Raw genomic sequence first — 18289 nt, 5'->3', positions numbered from 1 at the left:
CCATCCAGTCAGCTGCCCAGCATGGCAAGAGCGAAGCAGTAGAAGAAGGTGGGATAAGCAGCTTGCTGGGTCTTCTGGCTCTGTTTCCTCTTCCTGTGCTGGATGCTTCCTTCTACTCCTCCTGCCCTTGGACATCAAATTCCAGGTTCTTCGGCCTTTAGACTCTGGGACTTGCACCAGTGGCTTGCCGGGGGGTCTAGGGCCTTTGGCCACAGACTGAAGGCTGCACTATTGACTTCCCCAGTTTTGAGGCTTTAGGACTTGGACTGACCACTACCAGCTTCTCTCTTCCCCAGCTTGCAGACAGCCTATCATGGGACTTACCTTGTAATTGTGTGAGGCAGTTCTCCCTAATAAATTCCCTTTCACATGTATATGTATCCTGTTGGTTCTGCCCCTCTGGAGAACCCTAATACATTTGTCAACCTGGCTGGATTAAAAAACACCTAGATAGCTAATAACACATTATTTCTGCGTGTGTCTGTGAGGGTGTTTCTGGACGAGATTGGTGTATGAGTGGTAGACTAAGTGAGGAAGATCCACCCTCCATGTGGGTGATCACTGTCCAATTGACTCCGGGCCTGGATAGAAAAAAAGACAGGGGAAAGGTCTTTGCTGGAGCTGCAACACTTCTTCTACTGCCCTTGGACATCAGAGCTCCAGGTCCTCTGTCCTTTGGACTCTGGCATGTGCACCAGTGGCCCCAGGATTCTCAGATCTTGGGCCTTAGATTGATAGAGTGATGCCATTGGCTACCCTGATTCTGAGGCCTTTGGACTTAGATGGAGACAGGCTGCCAGTCTTCCTGGTTGTCCAACTTGAGGACAACCGGTTGTGGGACTTCTCAGCCCCCATTATCCTGTGAGCCAATTCCTCTAATACATTTCCTGCCTACTTCTATATATCTATCCTATTCATTCTGTCTCTCTGGAGAACCCTGACTAATACAGTATTGTGCTGGAGGTTCTAGCCAGAGCAGTTATACAAGAAAATGAAATAAGAGGCTTCCAGATTGGAAAAGAAAAGGTAAAACTATCTTTACTTGCAGATGGCGTGATCTTGTTTATAGAAAATTTTTAGGAACTCACCATACTATTAAAACTAATAAGTTCAGCAAGATTGCAGGACATAAGATTAATATACAAAATCAATTTTGTTATATATACTTGTAATGAATAATATGAAATAAAATAGAAACAATAATTTGTTTTCTAATAGCATGAAAAAGATAAAAAACTTAGGAATAAGTTTAACAAAAGAAGTGTAAAACATATACCTTAAAACTATAAAACATCATTGAAAGAAACTAAAGAAGACCTAAATAACTGGAAAAACATTCCATGTGCATGGATCAGAAAACAATATTTTAAAAATGACAGTACTCTTCAAATTGATCTACAGATTTAATGCAATCTCTGTCAAAAATCTCAAATGAATTTTTTTAATTGACAAGTAGATACTAAAACTAATATGGAAATTCAAGGGACCCAGAATAGCCATGACAATCCTGAAACAGAAGCACAAAATAGGAGACTCAGCTTCAAAACGTATTACAAAACTACAGTAATTAAGATAGTGTGGTACTGGTATTCTATTCTATTCTATAGAATAGAATTGAGTCTAGAAATAAACTCATACATTATTTGTGGTCAATTAATTTTCAGTAAATCAGTGGAAACAATACAAAACAATGCCAAAACAATTCAATGGGGAAAAATAATCTCTTCAACAAATTGTACTGGGGAAACTGTATATCCATCTGCCAAAGAAAAGCTGGACTCCTACCTCATATCATAAACAAAAATTAACTCAAAATTAATAAGAGGCTTAAAGGTAAGCCTTAAAACTCTCAGAAAAAGCATAGATACAAATTTAATGGCCTTGGATTGGATTTTTTTAAGATATGATACCAAAAGGACAAGTGACAAAATAAAAATAGATAAATGTATCAAAATTAGAAAACTTTGTGCAGCAAAGGACAATATCAAGAAAGTGAAAAGGGCTATGCATTAGTCCATTCTCGCATTGCTATAAAGAACTACCTGAGACTGGGTAATTCATAAAGAAAATAGGCTTAATTGGCTGATGGATCTTCAGGTCATATAGGAAGCATGGTTGCAGAGGCCTCAGGAAACTTACAATCATGGCAGAAGGTGAATGGGAAGCAGACACAGCCTGCATGGCTGAAGCAGGAGGAAGAGAGAGAAGGGGGAGGTGCTACACACTTTTAAACAACCAGATCTCATGAGAACTCACCATCACAAGAACAGCAAGGGGGAAGTTTGCCCCCACGATCCAATCACTTCCCACCAGGCCTGTCCTCCAACATTGGGGGTTATAATTCAACATGAGATTGGGGCAAGAACACAAATCCAAACCATATCAGGCTGGGCACAGGGACTCATGCCTGTAATCCTGGCACTTTGGGAGGCCAAAGCAGAGGATTGTTTGAGTCCAGGAGTTTGAGACCAGCTTGGTCAACATAGCGAGAACGACTCAGAAAAAAAAAAAAAAGGAAAAGGAAAAAGGCGATTCACAGAATGGGAGAAAATAGTTGCAAATTATATATGTCATAAAGGACAGTATCTAGAATACATAAAGAACTGTTAAGACTCAATAATAAAAAGATAATTTGATTAAAAAAGGGCAAAGGATTGGAATGGATAGTCCTCCAAAGAAGATATGCTAATAACTATTAAGCACATGAGAAGGTTTTTACTATCATTAGCCATTAGGGAAATGCAAATTATAACCACAATAAAAAACACTTCATACCCACAAAGACGGATAATGACAGTTGTTTGTGAGGATGTGAAGAAATTGGAATGCCCGTGTTTCCAAAGCAACTGTTTTGGAAAACAGTCCAGCAGTTCTTCAAACAATTAAACACAGATTTACCTTTTATAACCCAATATATCCACTCCTAGGCATATCCCCAAGAGAAATAGGATACATACCTATACATATACCTATACCTGTAGTCCCAGCTGTACAAAAATAATAATATTTCTAGCAGCATTATTCATAATACCTAAAGAATGGAAACAACCCAAATGTTTGTCAACTGAAGAAGAGACAAATAAAATGTGGTATATCCATACAGTAAAACACTATTCAGCTTTAAAAAGGATTGTAGTGCTGACATATGCTAAAACATGGATGAACCCTGAAAACATGCTAAGTGAAAGAAGCCAGACACCAAAGAACACAAACTGTATAATTCCTTTTATGTGAAATTTCTAGAACAGGCAAATCCATAGACACAAAGTAGATTAATGGTTGCCTACGACAGGGGGTGTATGGTGGCAAATTACGAGTGACTGCTATGGGTCTGTGGTTTCTTCCGGGAATGATGAAAGTGACTAGAATTGAGTTTCTAATGGTCGTACAATTCCGTGAATATATTAAAAACCATTGAATGATACATTTTACATTAGTGAATTGTATGGTATGTGAATTTTATATCAGTAAGCCTGGTGTGTGTGTGTGTGTGTGTTTGTGTGTGTGTCTTACATATATTGGACGGTTAACTGTCAGCACTTCATGATAGATGAGACTTAGGGAGTGAGGACAAGTGAGGAATTAAGAATGACCTCTAAATTTTGGTCTTGAGCAATTTCTCAGAAGGAGATGAAAGACTGAGATTAGGAGGGTTTCTTTTTGCTTTGTTTTGTTTTTGTTTTATGGAGAGGGCCAGCTTTGAGAATCAAGAGTTCTATTGTGGACATATTAAGTTTGAGGTGTCTATTAAATATCCAAACAAATCTTAGGCAGACAGTTGAACGTGTGTCTAGAACTCCGAGGAGTAATCTAGACTGGAGATAACATTTAGATGATAGGTGAATCTGCAGGAAAGGATGAAAACAGAGAGAGAGAGAGAGAGAGAGAGAGAGAGAATGCATGTGGCACAGGATGAGGTAGAATAGGAGAGGGGAGTTACAAAGCAAACTGAGAAGGAATGGCCAGCCAGGGAGGAAGGAGAAGTAAGAGAGTGAGCACAAGGTCACTGAACTCAGGCACAAAGTAAGTCCTACCGAGAGGTAGTCATAGGAGGACAGAAGGATCTATTGGAATTGCCAAGATGGATGTTGCCCATGACCATGATAAGAGAAGTTCAGATTGGAAACTCCAGATCCGAATGGTTTGAAGAGGGAATGTGAAGTGCTACAGTGGAGACAATTTGGCACCTGTTTTCAGAAGTGTTGCTGTCACCAGATTCTGATGAAAAATTGCTCTTGGATCTTTACCTGCTCTGCTGAAATGCCCAAAAAGGTGCTGGTTGGGTTTGGAGGTCGTGTCTTCCTGGGAGCCAGCCCTTCTGGGTATGAATGTTGCATCTGTGTAGGGAGTTGCTAACTTGTAGGCAGGGTTGGGGCGCGAGGGTGGTGTGAGGCTGGGGTTCGGAGAAGAGTGCCATTCTTTGCCTTGTTCTCTGATGGTTTTGATTTTGTTTAGTTATTTTGATTGGGAGAAAATGTAAAGAAGGGGTTTACTAATGTGCTTTTTCAAAGTCTAGGTCAAATTGATAAAAAGAAATCTCTGTTTGAAATCAGAATAAAGAGAAAAGACATTCCATGCTCTTGTTTTGGAGACAGGGTCTCCTGTTGCTGCCCAGACTAGAGTGAAGTAGCACAAACTACTGGCCTCAAGTGATCATCATGCCTCAGCCTCCCATGTGGCTGGGATTACAGGCGTGTGCCACCATGGCCAACTTATGATTTTTATTTTTGTAGAGACAAAGTCTTGCTATGTTGCCCAGTTGTTCTCCAACTCCTGACCTCAATGATCCTCCCAGCTTGGGCCTCCCAATGTGTTGACATTACTGGTATGAGCCTGTGCACAAACTTCATTCCAGGCTTTTTTTTGTAGTGAAAGTCTTTATGAAACACAGTCCTAACTGTTCATATATAATTTATTATATATGCATTTATTAATACATCACTTGGTTGTATTAAATACAACCATATTTATGGTAATAAATGTGGTAATAAATACATATTATATATGCATTTATTAATACATCAGCCTTGCATTTATTAATACATCAGTTGGTTGGGGTTTGGACCCTGAGACTGTAGCAGTTCCTGGAGTGAACTGAAAGGCAAAGTGGTAACTTTCTCAAAATGCACACACACAGATGCTTTTCAGAAACCTCAAAAGTGCATTGCCCACGGCTCTTACCATTTGCATCAGTACATTCTTTCCCCACGCTTCTTTACTAATTTAGATTATGTGAAAACAACTTTTTAAGACAGATGTTCCTTCAAGTAACAACCCACTCTTTCTCTTCTCTTGAGAAAATATTAGTTGGAAATGGACTGTTACTTAGGCTAGAAAGTCCATTTGAAATGTTTTGAGCAAACATCATTGTCTAAGTCCACTTCGTGCTGCCATAACAGAATACCACAGACTGGGTAGTTTAGAAACAATAAAAGTTTATTTGGCTCATGGTTCTGATGGCTGAGAAGTCCATGATCCAGGGGCTGCATCTGGTGAGGGCCTTCATGCTGTGTCATCCCCTGGCAGAAGGCATCACATGGTGAGAGCAAGCAACAGAGAAATGTACGCACTTTTATAGCAAATCCACTCTCGTGATAAAGAACCCACTTCTGTGATAATGATATTAATCCATTCACAAGGACAGAGCACTCATGACTTAATCACCTCTCAAGGGTCCTACCTCTCAACAGTGTAGCATTTGGGATTAAGTTCCCAGCACATGAACTCTGGGGGACGCATTCAAACCATAGCAATCATATTTTGAGCACATGACTAGGGACTGCTCATCTTGGATGAATCCAAGCTGTGTTTGTTTTTCTTTTACCAGATGTGTGTGTGTGTGTGTACGCCCATGCACTTGCATATTTTGGTAAGTCAATTGTTTGAAGTTATATTTGAGCTTCAATTTTTTTGAAGCTAAAATTTTTTTCTTATATGGAATACAGATGGCCTACCATAACACAATATTTTTAAAATGTAGTGTTTTCTAGCTGGCTTGGCATGAAATTAGAGAATGCCCTTATTTCTCTAACCTTAGGTAAAGTCTTCTTGTAGCAATTTTCTTATGTGTGTGGTTTAAAAAACAAAACTTTGTGGTTGTAATTGCTTGGTTGTGTTTTATTGTATATGAAAGAGGCATGCCGTGGGGGTTCAGAAGAAAGAATTGTTCAGTATTACTTTCATAAAACATTGAAAGAAGCATCTTCATTTGTTCTAGAGTGCAGATTCACAGGATTTTTAAATTTATTATTCTGAGAAGATGATATTAGTAGTGTGTCCTATGTGATTAGAAGGTAGAATATCACCCATGAAAAAATTTCTGGCTTAAAAGAAACCCTGCTTTTATTTATTTATTTAGACAGGGCCTCGCTCTGTCACCCAGCCTGGAGTGCAGTGGTGTAATCACAGCTCACTGCAGCCTTGACCTCTTGGGCTTAAAGGATCCTCCTACCTCAGCCACCCAAGTAGCTGGGACCATGGGTGTGAGTCACAATGCCTGGCTAATTTTTAATGTGTTTTTTGTTTTTTGTTTTTTTTGTGTGTAGACGGGTGCCTTAGTGTGTTGTCCAGGCTGGTCTCAAACTCCTGGGCTGAAGCAATCCTCCCCACTTGGCCTCCTAAAGTGCTTGGAATATAGGCATGAGCCTCTATGCCCAGCCCAAGAAACAAACCCTGCTTTTAGAATCTTTTTTTTTTTTTCCCAGCTGTCCTGTGTCCTAGGTTTATAACTTTGACTAACTTCTAGCAACTTCCAATCATGGGAGAATTAGAGTGGTTATCTGGGATGAATTGTTTGAACTTCAACCTGTTATCTTGGCTGCAGGGCTTTCTTGGCCACAGGGCCGTGCTAAAGGGCACTTTGATTTCTTGATTTTAAAAGAGCAAGAGAAAGTGATTGCCAAGAGGAGAGGTTTGGTTGGCTTTTCTTAGAACTAACTGCCTCTCCAGAGAAGCCTGCATTGGCTGCTCATCATGATGAGGGTCGGGCAAGGTCAGTTTCCACTGTCTTCTAATTGTTTTCAGAGAATTGGACGGTACAAAGCAGGTGCCACTGACAACATTTCCCATCATTTTATGGAAGAGTACTGATTCCGTCTTTTCTGCTCAGAGTGGATCTGTGCAAATAACTTTTGTTTCTCAAAAATTTCTGGTTTGTCTTGGGATGCAGCCAGGCCTCTAATGTGGTGGTGTGTGCTGTGTCACAAACCTCGGCCCCAAAAGCCTGAGCTTGGCTTTGTCAGATCTGATGAGTGTGCATGAGCAGGAAGCCACCCTTCGGGAGAATTCAGGGGCAAACGTACAAGTAACGTTTGTGAACCTGTGCAGACAAAGGCTTTGGGTAGATGCCTGTGAGATGTGGGGATCCAGGTGACATGAAGGGAGAAGAACAGAAGACAGGTAAGGGACTTGTGGGTTTTCTTAACTCCATGTGGCTGCATTGAGAAAACTAGTTAACATTTCATGGGCTGGTGGGAGCGTCATCTTATCATTCTCTCTTTTTTTTTTTTTTCTGGTAATGATTTTTTTTGTTTTTTTTTTTTTTGATATTGACAAAAGTTTAATCATTTCAATTAAAAATGCCACTAATTTGACTTTTTAAGTAAAAAATGTAGGGGGTTTTAAAACTACTTTCCTACTACCAAAAAATCAGAAAGTATCTAGCTTTCTAAATTGGGAAAGCAAGCAATGTTATAAAAACACTGAAGGAATCTCTTTCTTCGTGACCTTTTGTTAAACTCGGTTTAAGCTGTAGACCTTATTTAAAATAAAATTTACCACAGAACAGGAAATAGAAGCTGTGGAAGACTCGAAATACACCTTTGTACTTCTCTGTTCTTCACCTGCTCTCTCACTGTCTCTACACACACACACACACAAACACACACACACCTATATTTGCATTAAAAATGGGTAGTAAAAGCAGTGAAGGGCAAACAGAAGGTACAATACAATCAAGTAAGAGGTTGAATATAAACTGGAACAAGTCTTAATTTTTTATTTCACTTTCATTCGGATACGTTTACTAATTTTCTTTGCTAGCTTTAAGACTTTTAAAACATTCTTTGGCCCTGGGAGGGAGTTGTATAACCATAAAACTTGAGAATCCTGGCCCTAGAATAAATGTTCCTTTTAAAACCCCAAGGACAGAAAATTGAATACAGCTGTGCAAAAAAGAAAAAAAAGAAAAAGAAAGCAAGAAAAGAAAAAAAAGCCAAGTGATGGTTTAGGCTTGCAGGCACCCTGACCAACTTTCCCAGTGCACTTGGGCTGTGGTTTCCTGGAGATGGGAGATCGGGAGCTTTGGTGTACTTCTTGAAGGTTTCAGAAAAAGGCCAAGACTTCTTCAGAACTGTATGTTCCTGGGATATGGTTAAGAGCGCATTCTTTTTGGCATGGTTATCTATCATCTTGCTTGTCCTAAGCATGTCCTCTTGTTTTCCCCTGCAGAGGATTGGGGTTTCTAGGTCATTCTCTGTGATGCCGTGATTCTGCAAACCTTATAGTTCCTACCTAAAAGTAAGCTTCAGAGTTTAAGCAGTTTCCACCAGTCAGAAGGTGGAACGGATGAGTTTTTAAGACGCAATCTTGCTCTTCTCCCTCAGTCACTGAATTTGCCTCAGTATGGCCAGTTTTCAGACATGGTCCTGAGAATACGGCATTGCTACTCCCTGCTTCTCCTCTCCCTGGATGGAGACCAGGATGTTGCTTCTCTGATGTTTGCCTCGTGGGTTCCCATGTTAGGTTTGTGACCCACGGGGAGCTGTCACTGGGGACCCTACTGCAGCCTGGCATTAATCACTTTGCTCTTTGTCAGGCAGTGTCATGATGATTCATACTTCTTCCTCTACAAGATTAGATTACTGTAATTTTCATATCCTGGACTGCCCACGAGGGATTTGAATTAATACTTGTTGGTATAGAAAGCAGGATCATGTTTCTGGGGAGAAAGGACTGAACTTGCCCACTTGGCCATCATCAGAAAACATTAGGCAGGGCCTGGCTGAAAAATAATCCTGCCTTCAGGGCTTACCACATCAATTAGCTTACCATACGGGCCAGTAAGCCGTGTCTTTGTGAACACATGGTCCCTGGGCAGCGGATTTGTGAAAGTGATGCCAAGCCCAGGAGATCAGAATGCACGGAAGATTTTGCAAGGGAGTCCTATATTGAAATCAGACACTGCTTAATGAGGAAAATCTTTCCCAAAGAGGTATTTGAGAAGGAGGTAAACCAATTCAGGCATGTGGAACAGCCTGCACAAAGCCAGCAGAAATTACGATCACAGATTGCAGGGCAGGGGGGTGTCTGTGAGGGATAAAGTTGCCTTTGGAAAAGAACTCATTGCCTTGTCATTTTCCCTGGAGCATACGCATTATTTGCCTTATTCGTTCAAGAAATATTTATCGAGCACTTAATATATCCTAGGCACTGAAGATGAACAGCAGTTCACAAACCAGACAAAAGTCTCTGTCCTCACACAAGTCACATTTTAGGGGGCCCATGTCACTAGGGGTACAAGCGTAAGCTGAAGGGAGCTGTAGCAAGGAGTTAGGAGTACCTGGAAGAACTCCTGAATAACTATAGTTGTTTGAAAACGTATTTGCTTATTTATTTTCTCTCTTCCCTTTGATGCAACTTGCACCCACTATCCCACTAACGAGATTACCAGCCATCTTTCGATAAATCCTTGGGAGGGAATTACTTGTACTTGCTAATGAATAATCCACTTTAGTAGTCCAACAGATAATAACTTCAGGGTCTTCAAAGGGTTATCTGATCTGCTTTGGCCTGAGTCTCTATGGGAGGGAAGTTGAGGCATGATCAAAGGATTTTATCTTTGCTTGCTCTCCTACTGTCTAATAATTTTTTATTTCAGAATGCTTTGCTTTAACATATTTTATCTCGCTTGGAGCGCTTTATTCCTTCCTTATTTATTTATTTTTTGAGACGGAGTTTCACTCTATCGCCCAGGCTGGAGTTCAGTGGCACAATCCCGGCTCACTGCAAACTCCACCTCCCGGGTTCAAGCAACCCTCCTGCCTCAGCCTCCCGAGTAGTTTGGACTACAAGAGCCCGCCACCACACCTGACTAATTTTTGTATTTTTAGTAGAGACATGGTTTCACCATGTTGGCCAGGCTGGTCTTGAACTCCTGACCTCAAGTGATCCTCTCGCCTCGGCCTCCCAAAATGCTGGACTTACAGGCATGACCCACCACACCTGGCCCCTTCCTTCTTTTTTTCCCCCTCATTGTTGAGGCTTTTCTTTGGAGAAGGTGAGATGGTGCTATGCCTCAGAATTGTAGAATTTCAAGTTTTTAGAATTTGATGGCACTGTAGGAATCTTAATCCAGACCAGCGATTTTCAGTCCCCAGACTAAAACCAAGCCCTTACCTGAGGGCAGTGCGATGAGAAACCTAAGAAAATGAAGTGAATGTTGTATTAAATATAAAGCTAAATTTATTCAGTTGATTTCTGCATCATTCTGTTATTTTCTTTTCTTGAATTTTTCAGGTTTTTTTTTTTAGTGTCCTCCACCTACCCCAGAAATCAGTCTTCCTGATCTCAGCCTCCCACCTCCCACCATTCTGTCCCCACAGGCTGACTCCTGTCAGACCCCATCCTCCCACGCCCCAGTTTTCAGATGGGACCCTCCTCCTCAGTCTTGTAGCCCCTGCCCTCAATACAGAAGTCACTGGCTAAACCTTAGGGTAGGAAGTTCCCACTCGTGCTGTCAAGGAGACATGGCCCAGGATCCACAGTTGGAGCCAAAGATACATTGTAAGATACAACACATAGTGTTTCTGGTTTCTTTCTTTCCCTCTTTCTTTCTTTCTTTCTTTCAGGTGGAATCTTGCTCTGCCGCCCAGGCTGGAGTGCAGTGGCATGATCTCGGCTCACTGCAAGCTCCGCCTCCTGGGTTCAAGTGGTTCCGTTTTATAGAATTATTGGGACTGTGGTTCCACTCTATTACAAGCTTATCGGGCTTCTGTGGGTTGGCCGAGTGCATAGCCATTACGTAGAGCTCTGTTTCTGGAGGAAGATGAGAATGGAACCTTCACTGGGCTACAGAGTGCTTGGCCCAGGGGATGTGGGGTTTCTCGGTCCTTGGGGCTGGGAGAACATGCTCAGAGAAGGCTCCTCGCTCCTGTGTGTCTCTAAGGTATAGATGATGCTCCCTGAGGAGCACAGTCTCCTGGAGTTTTTCTTTCAGGAATAAGAATGATCCATTCCCTCTTGGTATTTGGAATCAGCCAAACAAACCACATGTGGTGCTGAGCTTTGTGATGTCAACAACAGCAGGGAAGGGAAGAGCCTCCCAGGTCCTCACTCCACTGGTCACATCACCGTCAGCTCATGTCCCCATTTGAGCAGCAGCCTCCATGGTTCTGTTCGTGCAGTGAGCTGCTGCTTGACAGCAGACAGAAATCCCATATTTTTAGATATCTAGTGGCCCAAACGGAGCATGTCACACTTTGTACATCTCTGATTACTCTCAAGACTCTGAGCCTGGTGTCCAGGAACGCGATGTTGCTCCAGCCGTGTGAGAGGCTGGGTCTCTGGAGCCAGGACTCATAAACCACGGTCCAGGCTCACCCCTGGCAAGTTCACATCTCATTTTGACCACGAGGCCAGCAGTTCTCTTTGTGTTGAGCTCTGCTACACACCCATTGCTCTGAAGCTACAGCCCGGGAGAGAAAAGTTGGCTGGCTCATCAGTGGTTCAAGCCAGTGACTTACAGATGACCTTGGAGCTCAAAGATTTTCAGCTAAAGCCAGTAAAGTTCTCCAAAAGCTTTGAGAAAAAGCGAGACCAGACAGACAGAAAGACAGACTCAATTGATTGAATTATTGATTGATTCAGATTTCCGGCAGGGGTGGGGGGTTGTTGGTTGAAAAATATTAACTGAAAATAATATCCCCTTTTTGTCTTTAAAAAGAAATTTATGCACAAACAAAATGACTTGCCCATGGTACAGAAGGCCACAAGCTCGATTCATACAGGTGTATCGGTGTACATATCAGTAGACTACAGCATGTCTCTGTCTTCTCCCATAGAGGTCAAAATCCTAAGCTTTTTGGGAAAAGGAAATGATTCCAAGTCTGGTTCCATCGTGGCAGAAAATAGGGCAAAATACAGGTCCTGGTTGCCTAGCCTTTTCATCTCCTGGAAATGAGCTGCTTAAAAAATACCTCCAGTGATTGATCAAGTTCATTGCCCTGTGGAAAGCAGAACTTTTCAGAAGGCAGAAGCAAGGAGACAGAGAGTGTTGTTGTCTTACTTTCCTGCACTGACAGTCCTGGCCAATGCTCTGACATCATCTTGAGTCCAGAAATAGGAGTGAGAAATGGACAGTGAGGCCACTACACAGAAACATTTGAGCTGGTGATGCATGTTTTCTTTTCTGCCTGTGAGCTGAGGATCCAACTTGTGACTGTTTCTCCAGCTCTGGAGGGATATTGCAAATTGATTAATCCACCCTGACAAAAGGGAGAATGTTGTAGCTGCATTAAAATGAGAAGAGAGCGGCCGGGTGCAGTGGCTCACGCCTGTAATCCCAGCATTTTGAGAGGCTGAGGTGGGCGGATCATTTGAGGTCAGGAGTTCAAGACCAGCCTGGCCAACATGGTGAAACCCAGTCTCTACTAAAAATACGAAAACATTATTCAGGCATGGTGGTATGTGCCTGAGGTCCCAGCTACTTGGGAGGCTGAGGCAGGAGAATGGCTTGAACCCAGCAGGTGGAGGCTGCAGTGAGCTGAGATCATGTCATTGCACTCCAGCCTGGGCGACAGAGTGAGACTCTGTCTCCAAAAAAAAGAGAGAGAGAAGAGATCTAACTGCAGACTATTTTGATATTTTCAGTCCACATCACAAACATTTATTAAATTTACTGAGTGGCACATGTTGCTAGGTCCTGGTAATATGAAAATGTCATGGAGTCTCTGCTAACAGCCTAGAGATTGGGAATCAGAGACCATGTCTAGGAGAGATTTGTAGGGGAAATATTCTCAACTAAGGCTTGAAGTATGATTAGGGGTCGGTCTTTCTTTCTTTCTTTCTTTCTTTCTTTCTTTCTTTCTTTCTTTCTTTCTCACTCTCTCTCTTTCTTTCTGTTTTTGAGGCAGAGTCTCACTCTGTTGTCTAGGCTGGAGTGCAGTGGCACAATCTCAGCTCACTGCAACCTCTGCCTCCCAGGTTCAAGCGCTTCTCAGCCTCGGGAGTAGCTGGGATTACAGGCTCGAGCCACCATACCTGACTAATTTTTGTATTTTTAGTAGAGACAGAGTTTCACTGTGTTGGCCAGGCTGGTCTTGAACTCCTGACCTCAGGTGAGCCATCTGCCTCAGCCTCCCAAAGTCCTGGGATTATAGGCATGAGCCACCGCACCTGGCCAGATTAGGGGTTTTCTAAGTGAGAAGGGTGGAAAGGCATTCTGAGCAGAGAGAACAAACTAGACAGGAATAGGAAGGATGGCCAGGGTGGCTGGTGTCTCATGGTTGGGCACAGGTCACCTGCTGGTGGGAGGGAGGATAGGAGGTTCCAGCTCAGAGAAGTGGGACTTTGGAATGTACCCAACAGGCTGGACATCCTTGAGTTTTTTGTTTTCTTTTGTTTTCTGTTTTCCACCAACACAAGTAATCGCATCCCTCCTGGGTTTATCTAAATGTGGTGCTGGTAATGAAGCTAAGGCATCACAGTCCTTGTAAGCCTCACAGCTTGTAGGAATACACCTGCACAAGTAAGTCACTGCAGGTCTTAGTCTGTATGAGATAACCTAAGGGTTAAGTGTCATTTCCAAACTATTTATTTGTAACTGGATACCTTTTTTCTCCTACTGATGAGTATCTAAATGCAAGAGAGTGACAATGATTCTAAGTATAGTCTTACATTTGTCCTTTAACAAATTTATTTTTATTTTTTATTTTTTATTTATTTATTTTGAGATGGAGTTTCGTTCTTGTCACCCAGGCAGGAGTGCAGTGGCGCGATCTCGGCTCATTGAAACCTCTGCTTCCTGGGTTCAAGCGATTCTCTTGCCTCGGCCTCTGCAGTAGCTGGGATTACAGGCTCGCACCACCATGCCGCTAATTTTTGTATTTTCAGTAGAGATGGGTTTCACCATGTTGGCCAGGCTGGTCACAAACTCCTGACCTCAGGTGATCCTCCCACCTCCGCCTTCCAAAGTGCTGGGATTACAGGCGAGACCTACCACGCCCAGCCTATTGTTTTAAACTTTATTTTTTATTATATTCATTTTACTATTTTTTTAAAGAGATGGGGTCTCACTATGTTGCCCAGGCTGGTCTCAAACTCCTTGCTTCGGTCCTTCCACCTCGACCTCCCAAAGTGCTAGGATTACAGGCATGAGCCACTGCACCCAGCCCCCTTTAACAAATTTAATTTTATAAGTTTGCCATATGGGCCAGGATCTGGGACGATTTGCTAGATTAAAAAATAAAAACATAAAATATAAAAAAGACAAAAAGTTTGCCATGTGGGCTTCCATGGGTAAGAAGCAAGCGCTATCCACCTGTCTGTTGGAGGCAGCACCTGCCAGGCCTATGCTTGAGAACTGCTGGGGGACTCTCCAGGAGGGTTTTTATTGGGAGTGAGCAGGCAGGGTGGGGCCGTTTAAAGGCCATTCTGGAAGTGGCGGAGAGGATGGGTTTAGAGAGGTGGAAGTGAAGTTTGGAGGCTCCAGGCATAAGCCTGACTCAGGCCCATGAGAACATCAATGGGGTGGAAGGAGAGAGGAAGGTTAAAGGCAGGAACCGAGGCTTAGTGACTGCTGAGATCTGAATGATCACTCAAGTGAGGCAGGGCCCTGATTTCTGGTTTGGGTGGCCAAGTTGCCGATGGGGAGGTTGCGGTCAGGTAGGAAACCAGGTACAAGTTTCCTGATGGGAGATGGGAGATGACGGGTGTAGCTTGATTTCTCTTGAGTTCCATGTTCCCGTGAGATGCTCCTGGTTTGCTGAACTTCAGGGAATCAATCACCAGTCTTCTGACTTCTGCTTTAGGTGTGGCAGACGGAGCTCACTCTGGGAGAAGGTAGGATGATACCAGCAGGCTCGGAGTCCTGGGAAACATATGGACATTTGAGGGAGGCAGAGGTGGACACTCAGTGAAACAACTGAGGAGTGATCAGAAAGGCATGGGAGAGCTGAGGAAAGGAGTGTTGGAGACATTTTACGAAGAGGACATTCCATGGAGGCGGAAGTGGTCAGAAAGTGCCAGATACCATACAGGCCACATCTAGATGAAGCCTCAGGAGAGTGTGTTGTTGGGAGAGCAGTTTCTGGGTTGTAGGGGAGCCAGAATCCAATGACAAAACTTGCTGGGAAGCACATGGGGCTGGGGGAGAGGAGACAGTGGTTCTGGAACATTCAGGGTGATAAAAAGAAGAGAAGGTAGGCAAGAGCTTGAAGACAGAGGTGGGGCCCAAGGGACTTTGGGGGCAGAAGATGAGTCGCTGGAGCATATTCTGGGCTTGTGCTGCCTCGTCAACGAACTGAAAAGAAGCCTCATCTCTTCTGTGCATGACCTGGCATTCCCCAAAGCGCCAGAAAAGTCCAGCATAAGTTAGACTGGCCTCCAAAGTGGGAATTCAGGGAGTTTGGATCTAGGTTTTATGTTATGGAAACTGAGAAGATAAAGGGCCCTGAAACCTCCATCTGCCCATTCCACTTCTGGGAAGGCTGAACTGTTATATCATCTATTTATTTTCAAGAATAAAGAGTTCAGCTGGGTGTGGTGGCTCACGCCTGTAATCTCAGCACTTTGGGAGGCCAAGGCGGGCAGATCACGCGAGGTTAGAAGTTCGAGACCAGCTTGGCCAACATGGTGAAACCCTGTCTACTAAAAATACAAAAATTAGCCAGATGTGGTGGCATCTGCCTGTGATCCCAGCTACTTGGGAGGCTGAGGTAGGAGAATCGCTTGAACTTGGGAGGTGAAGGTTGCAGTGAGCCGAGATCGTGCATTACACTCCAGCCTAGGCAGCAAGAGTGAAACTCCATCTCAAAAAAAAAAAAAAAAAGGGCCAGGCGCAGTGGCTCATGCCTGTAATCTCATCACTTTGGGAGGCTGAGGTGAGCAGATCACGAAATCGAGAGATCGAGACCATCCTGGCCAACATGGTGAAACCCCGTCGTACTAAAAATACAAAACTTAGCTGAGTGTGCTAGCGCACACCTGTAGTCCCAGCTACTCCGGAGGCTGAGGCAGGAGAATCACTTGAACTCGGGAGGAGGAAATTGCAGTGAGCCAAGATCGCGCCACTGCACTCCAGCCTGGTGACAGAGTGAGATTCTGTCTCAAGAAAAAGAAAAACAAAAAAGAAAGGGGAAGAGTTCTAGAGAACAGATTTCAAAAACTTGTTTTCTATTATATTTATAGCAGTATTCACATTGGAAGACCAGTGCAGTGACACACTTTCGTTATCCCAGCTACTCAGGTGGCTGAGGCAGGAGGATCACATAAGCCCAAGAGTTCAAGACCAGCCTGAGCCAAATAGTGAGAACCTGTCTCTAAAAATGAAATATAATCAAAAATTGAGATGACCCGATCTCCTCCCTTTCCAAAAAGTTGTTTTCTTGCTATTTCTCCAGAGTTGGTCAGGTTTTAAAAATTAATAATCTGGGGCAGTAGATGAAATTTCTGAAAATTATGTGCAGGTTTCCTTTTTTATTTTTGGATGGGCCCTAGGTATTAGAGGTGCTCTTTTTAAGTATCTACACAGCCTGCTAAATAAACACATTCAATTGGAAAGCAATGCTTTCCATTTCTTATTCTGTATCAAATATTTTACTTTCGGATTAACTTTCATTCTTATAGGGAAAAATAAATATTTCCAGTTTGAAATTCGTAAGATGGCATTGATAATAAGTAAATCTCTATAGATTTATGTGAAGTACAGTTACAGTAAGTCACCCATTTACAAATGGATTATATTTGAAAGTTTCATTTGAAGTAGGTTTGTTTTTTGGGGTTGGGATGCTTTTTCCTTGGAAAAAATACTTAATTAAACTTTTTTTTTTTTTGAGACAGAGTTTCACCCTTGTCACCCAGGCTGGAGTGCAATGGCATGATCTCAGCTCACTGCAACCTCCGCCTCCCGGGTTCAAGCAATTCTCCTGCCTCAGCCTCCCGAGAAGCTGGGATTACAGGCACATGCCAGCCACCATGCCTGGCTAATTTTTGTATTTTTAGTAGAGACAGGGTTTCACCACGTTGGCTAGGATGTTCTCAATCTCCTGACCTCAGGTAATCCATCCGCCACAGCCTCCCAAAGTTCTGGGATTACAGGTGTGAGCCACCCCGCCCTGCTTAAACTTTTAATTTTGAGATAATTATAGATTCAGATGTAGTTGTAAGAAATAGTACAAAGTGATCATGAGGGCTTTTTACCCAGTTTCTCCAGTGATAACATCTTGCAAAGCTATACAATAGTATCACAACCAGGATATTGACACTGATGTGGTCAATCCAATAGAAGAGTTCCAGAACAGGGGTCTCTCATGTGGCCCTGTTAAACCACCTCATCCCCATCCCTAACCTCTAACAACTCCCATCTCTTCTCCATTTCTATAATGTTGTCATCTGGGAAATGCTATGTAAGTGTACTCGTATAGTATCTAACATTTTGGGATTGGCTTTCTGTCACTCAGCATAATTTAATTCCCTGGATTCTTATCCAGGTCGTGGAACGTACTAATAATTTGTTCCTTTTTATTGTTGAGTAGTATTCCATGGTATGGATGTACCACAATGAGGATTGGGTAGAAGCTCATTGCTTTTGCCTAGGGGTGTCTAATTGCTCTAGCACTGTTTGTTGAATGGCACAGAAATCAGTTTGGCATATTCATGTGGGCCTGTCTCTGGGTTCTCCAGTCTGTTCCACTGATCTATGTTATGTGTCTCTCTTTTTGCCAATGCTGTGTTGTCTTGATTACTGTAGTTATCCAGTAGGCCTTAATATGGGATAGATTCATTGCTCTAACTTTTTTCTTCTTTTGAGACGGAGTCTCACTCTGTGGCCCAGGCTGGAGTGCAGTGGCATGATCTTGGCTCACTGCAACCTCTGCCTCCCAGGATTGGGTTCAAGCGATGCTCCTGCCTTAGCCTCCCTAGTAACTGGGATTACAGGTGTGCACCACCACGCCTGGCTAATTTTTCTGTATTTTTGATAGAGACAGTGTTTCACCATGTTCATTAGGCTGGTCTCGAACTCCTGACCTCAGGTGATCCACCCGCCTCGGCCTACCAAAGTGCTGGGATTACA

At 43.0% G+C, this 18289-nt stretch overlaps 1 protein-coding gene across 3 annotated transcripts in view, besides 1 other annotated feature; it reads left to right on the top strand.

Moving 5' to 3' along the window:
- The window catches only part of SVIL (supervillin), a 279599-nt gene that overhangs the window by 81422 nt on the left and 179888 nt on the right, over positions 1-18289 (top strand). The window lies entirely within an intron of this gene.
- Positions 15992-16493: an enhancer, noted in NCBI's record as "H3K27ac hESC enhancer chr10:29927951-29928452 (GRCh37/hg19 assembly coordinates)". NCBI's record gives its function as "activates a minimal SCP1, AML or CMV promoter by ChIP-STARR-seq in naive H9 embryonic stem cells {active_cell/tissue: H9 hESC(naive)}" and the evidence as "EXISTENCE:reporter gene assay evidence [ECO:0000049][PMID:30033119]".

Source organism: Homo sapiens, chromosome 10, assembly GCF_000001405.40.
Source record: "Homo sapiens chromosome 10, GRCh38.p14 Primary Assembly".
Classification (NCBI taxonomy): domain Eukaryota; kingdom Metazoa; phylum Chordata; class Mammalia; order Primates; family Hominidae; genus Homo; species Homo sapiens.
This window is presented reverse-complemented; position numbering and strand designations above follow the sequence as displayed.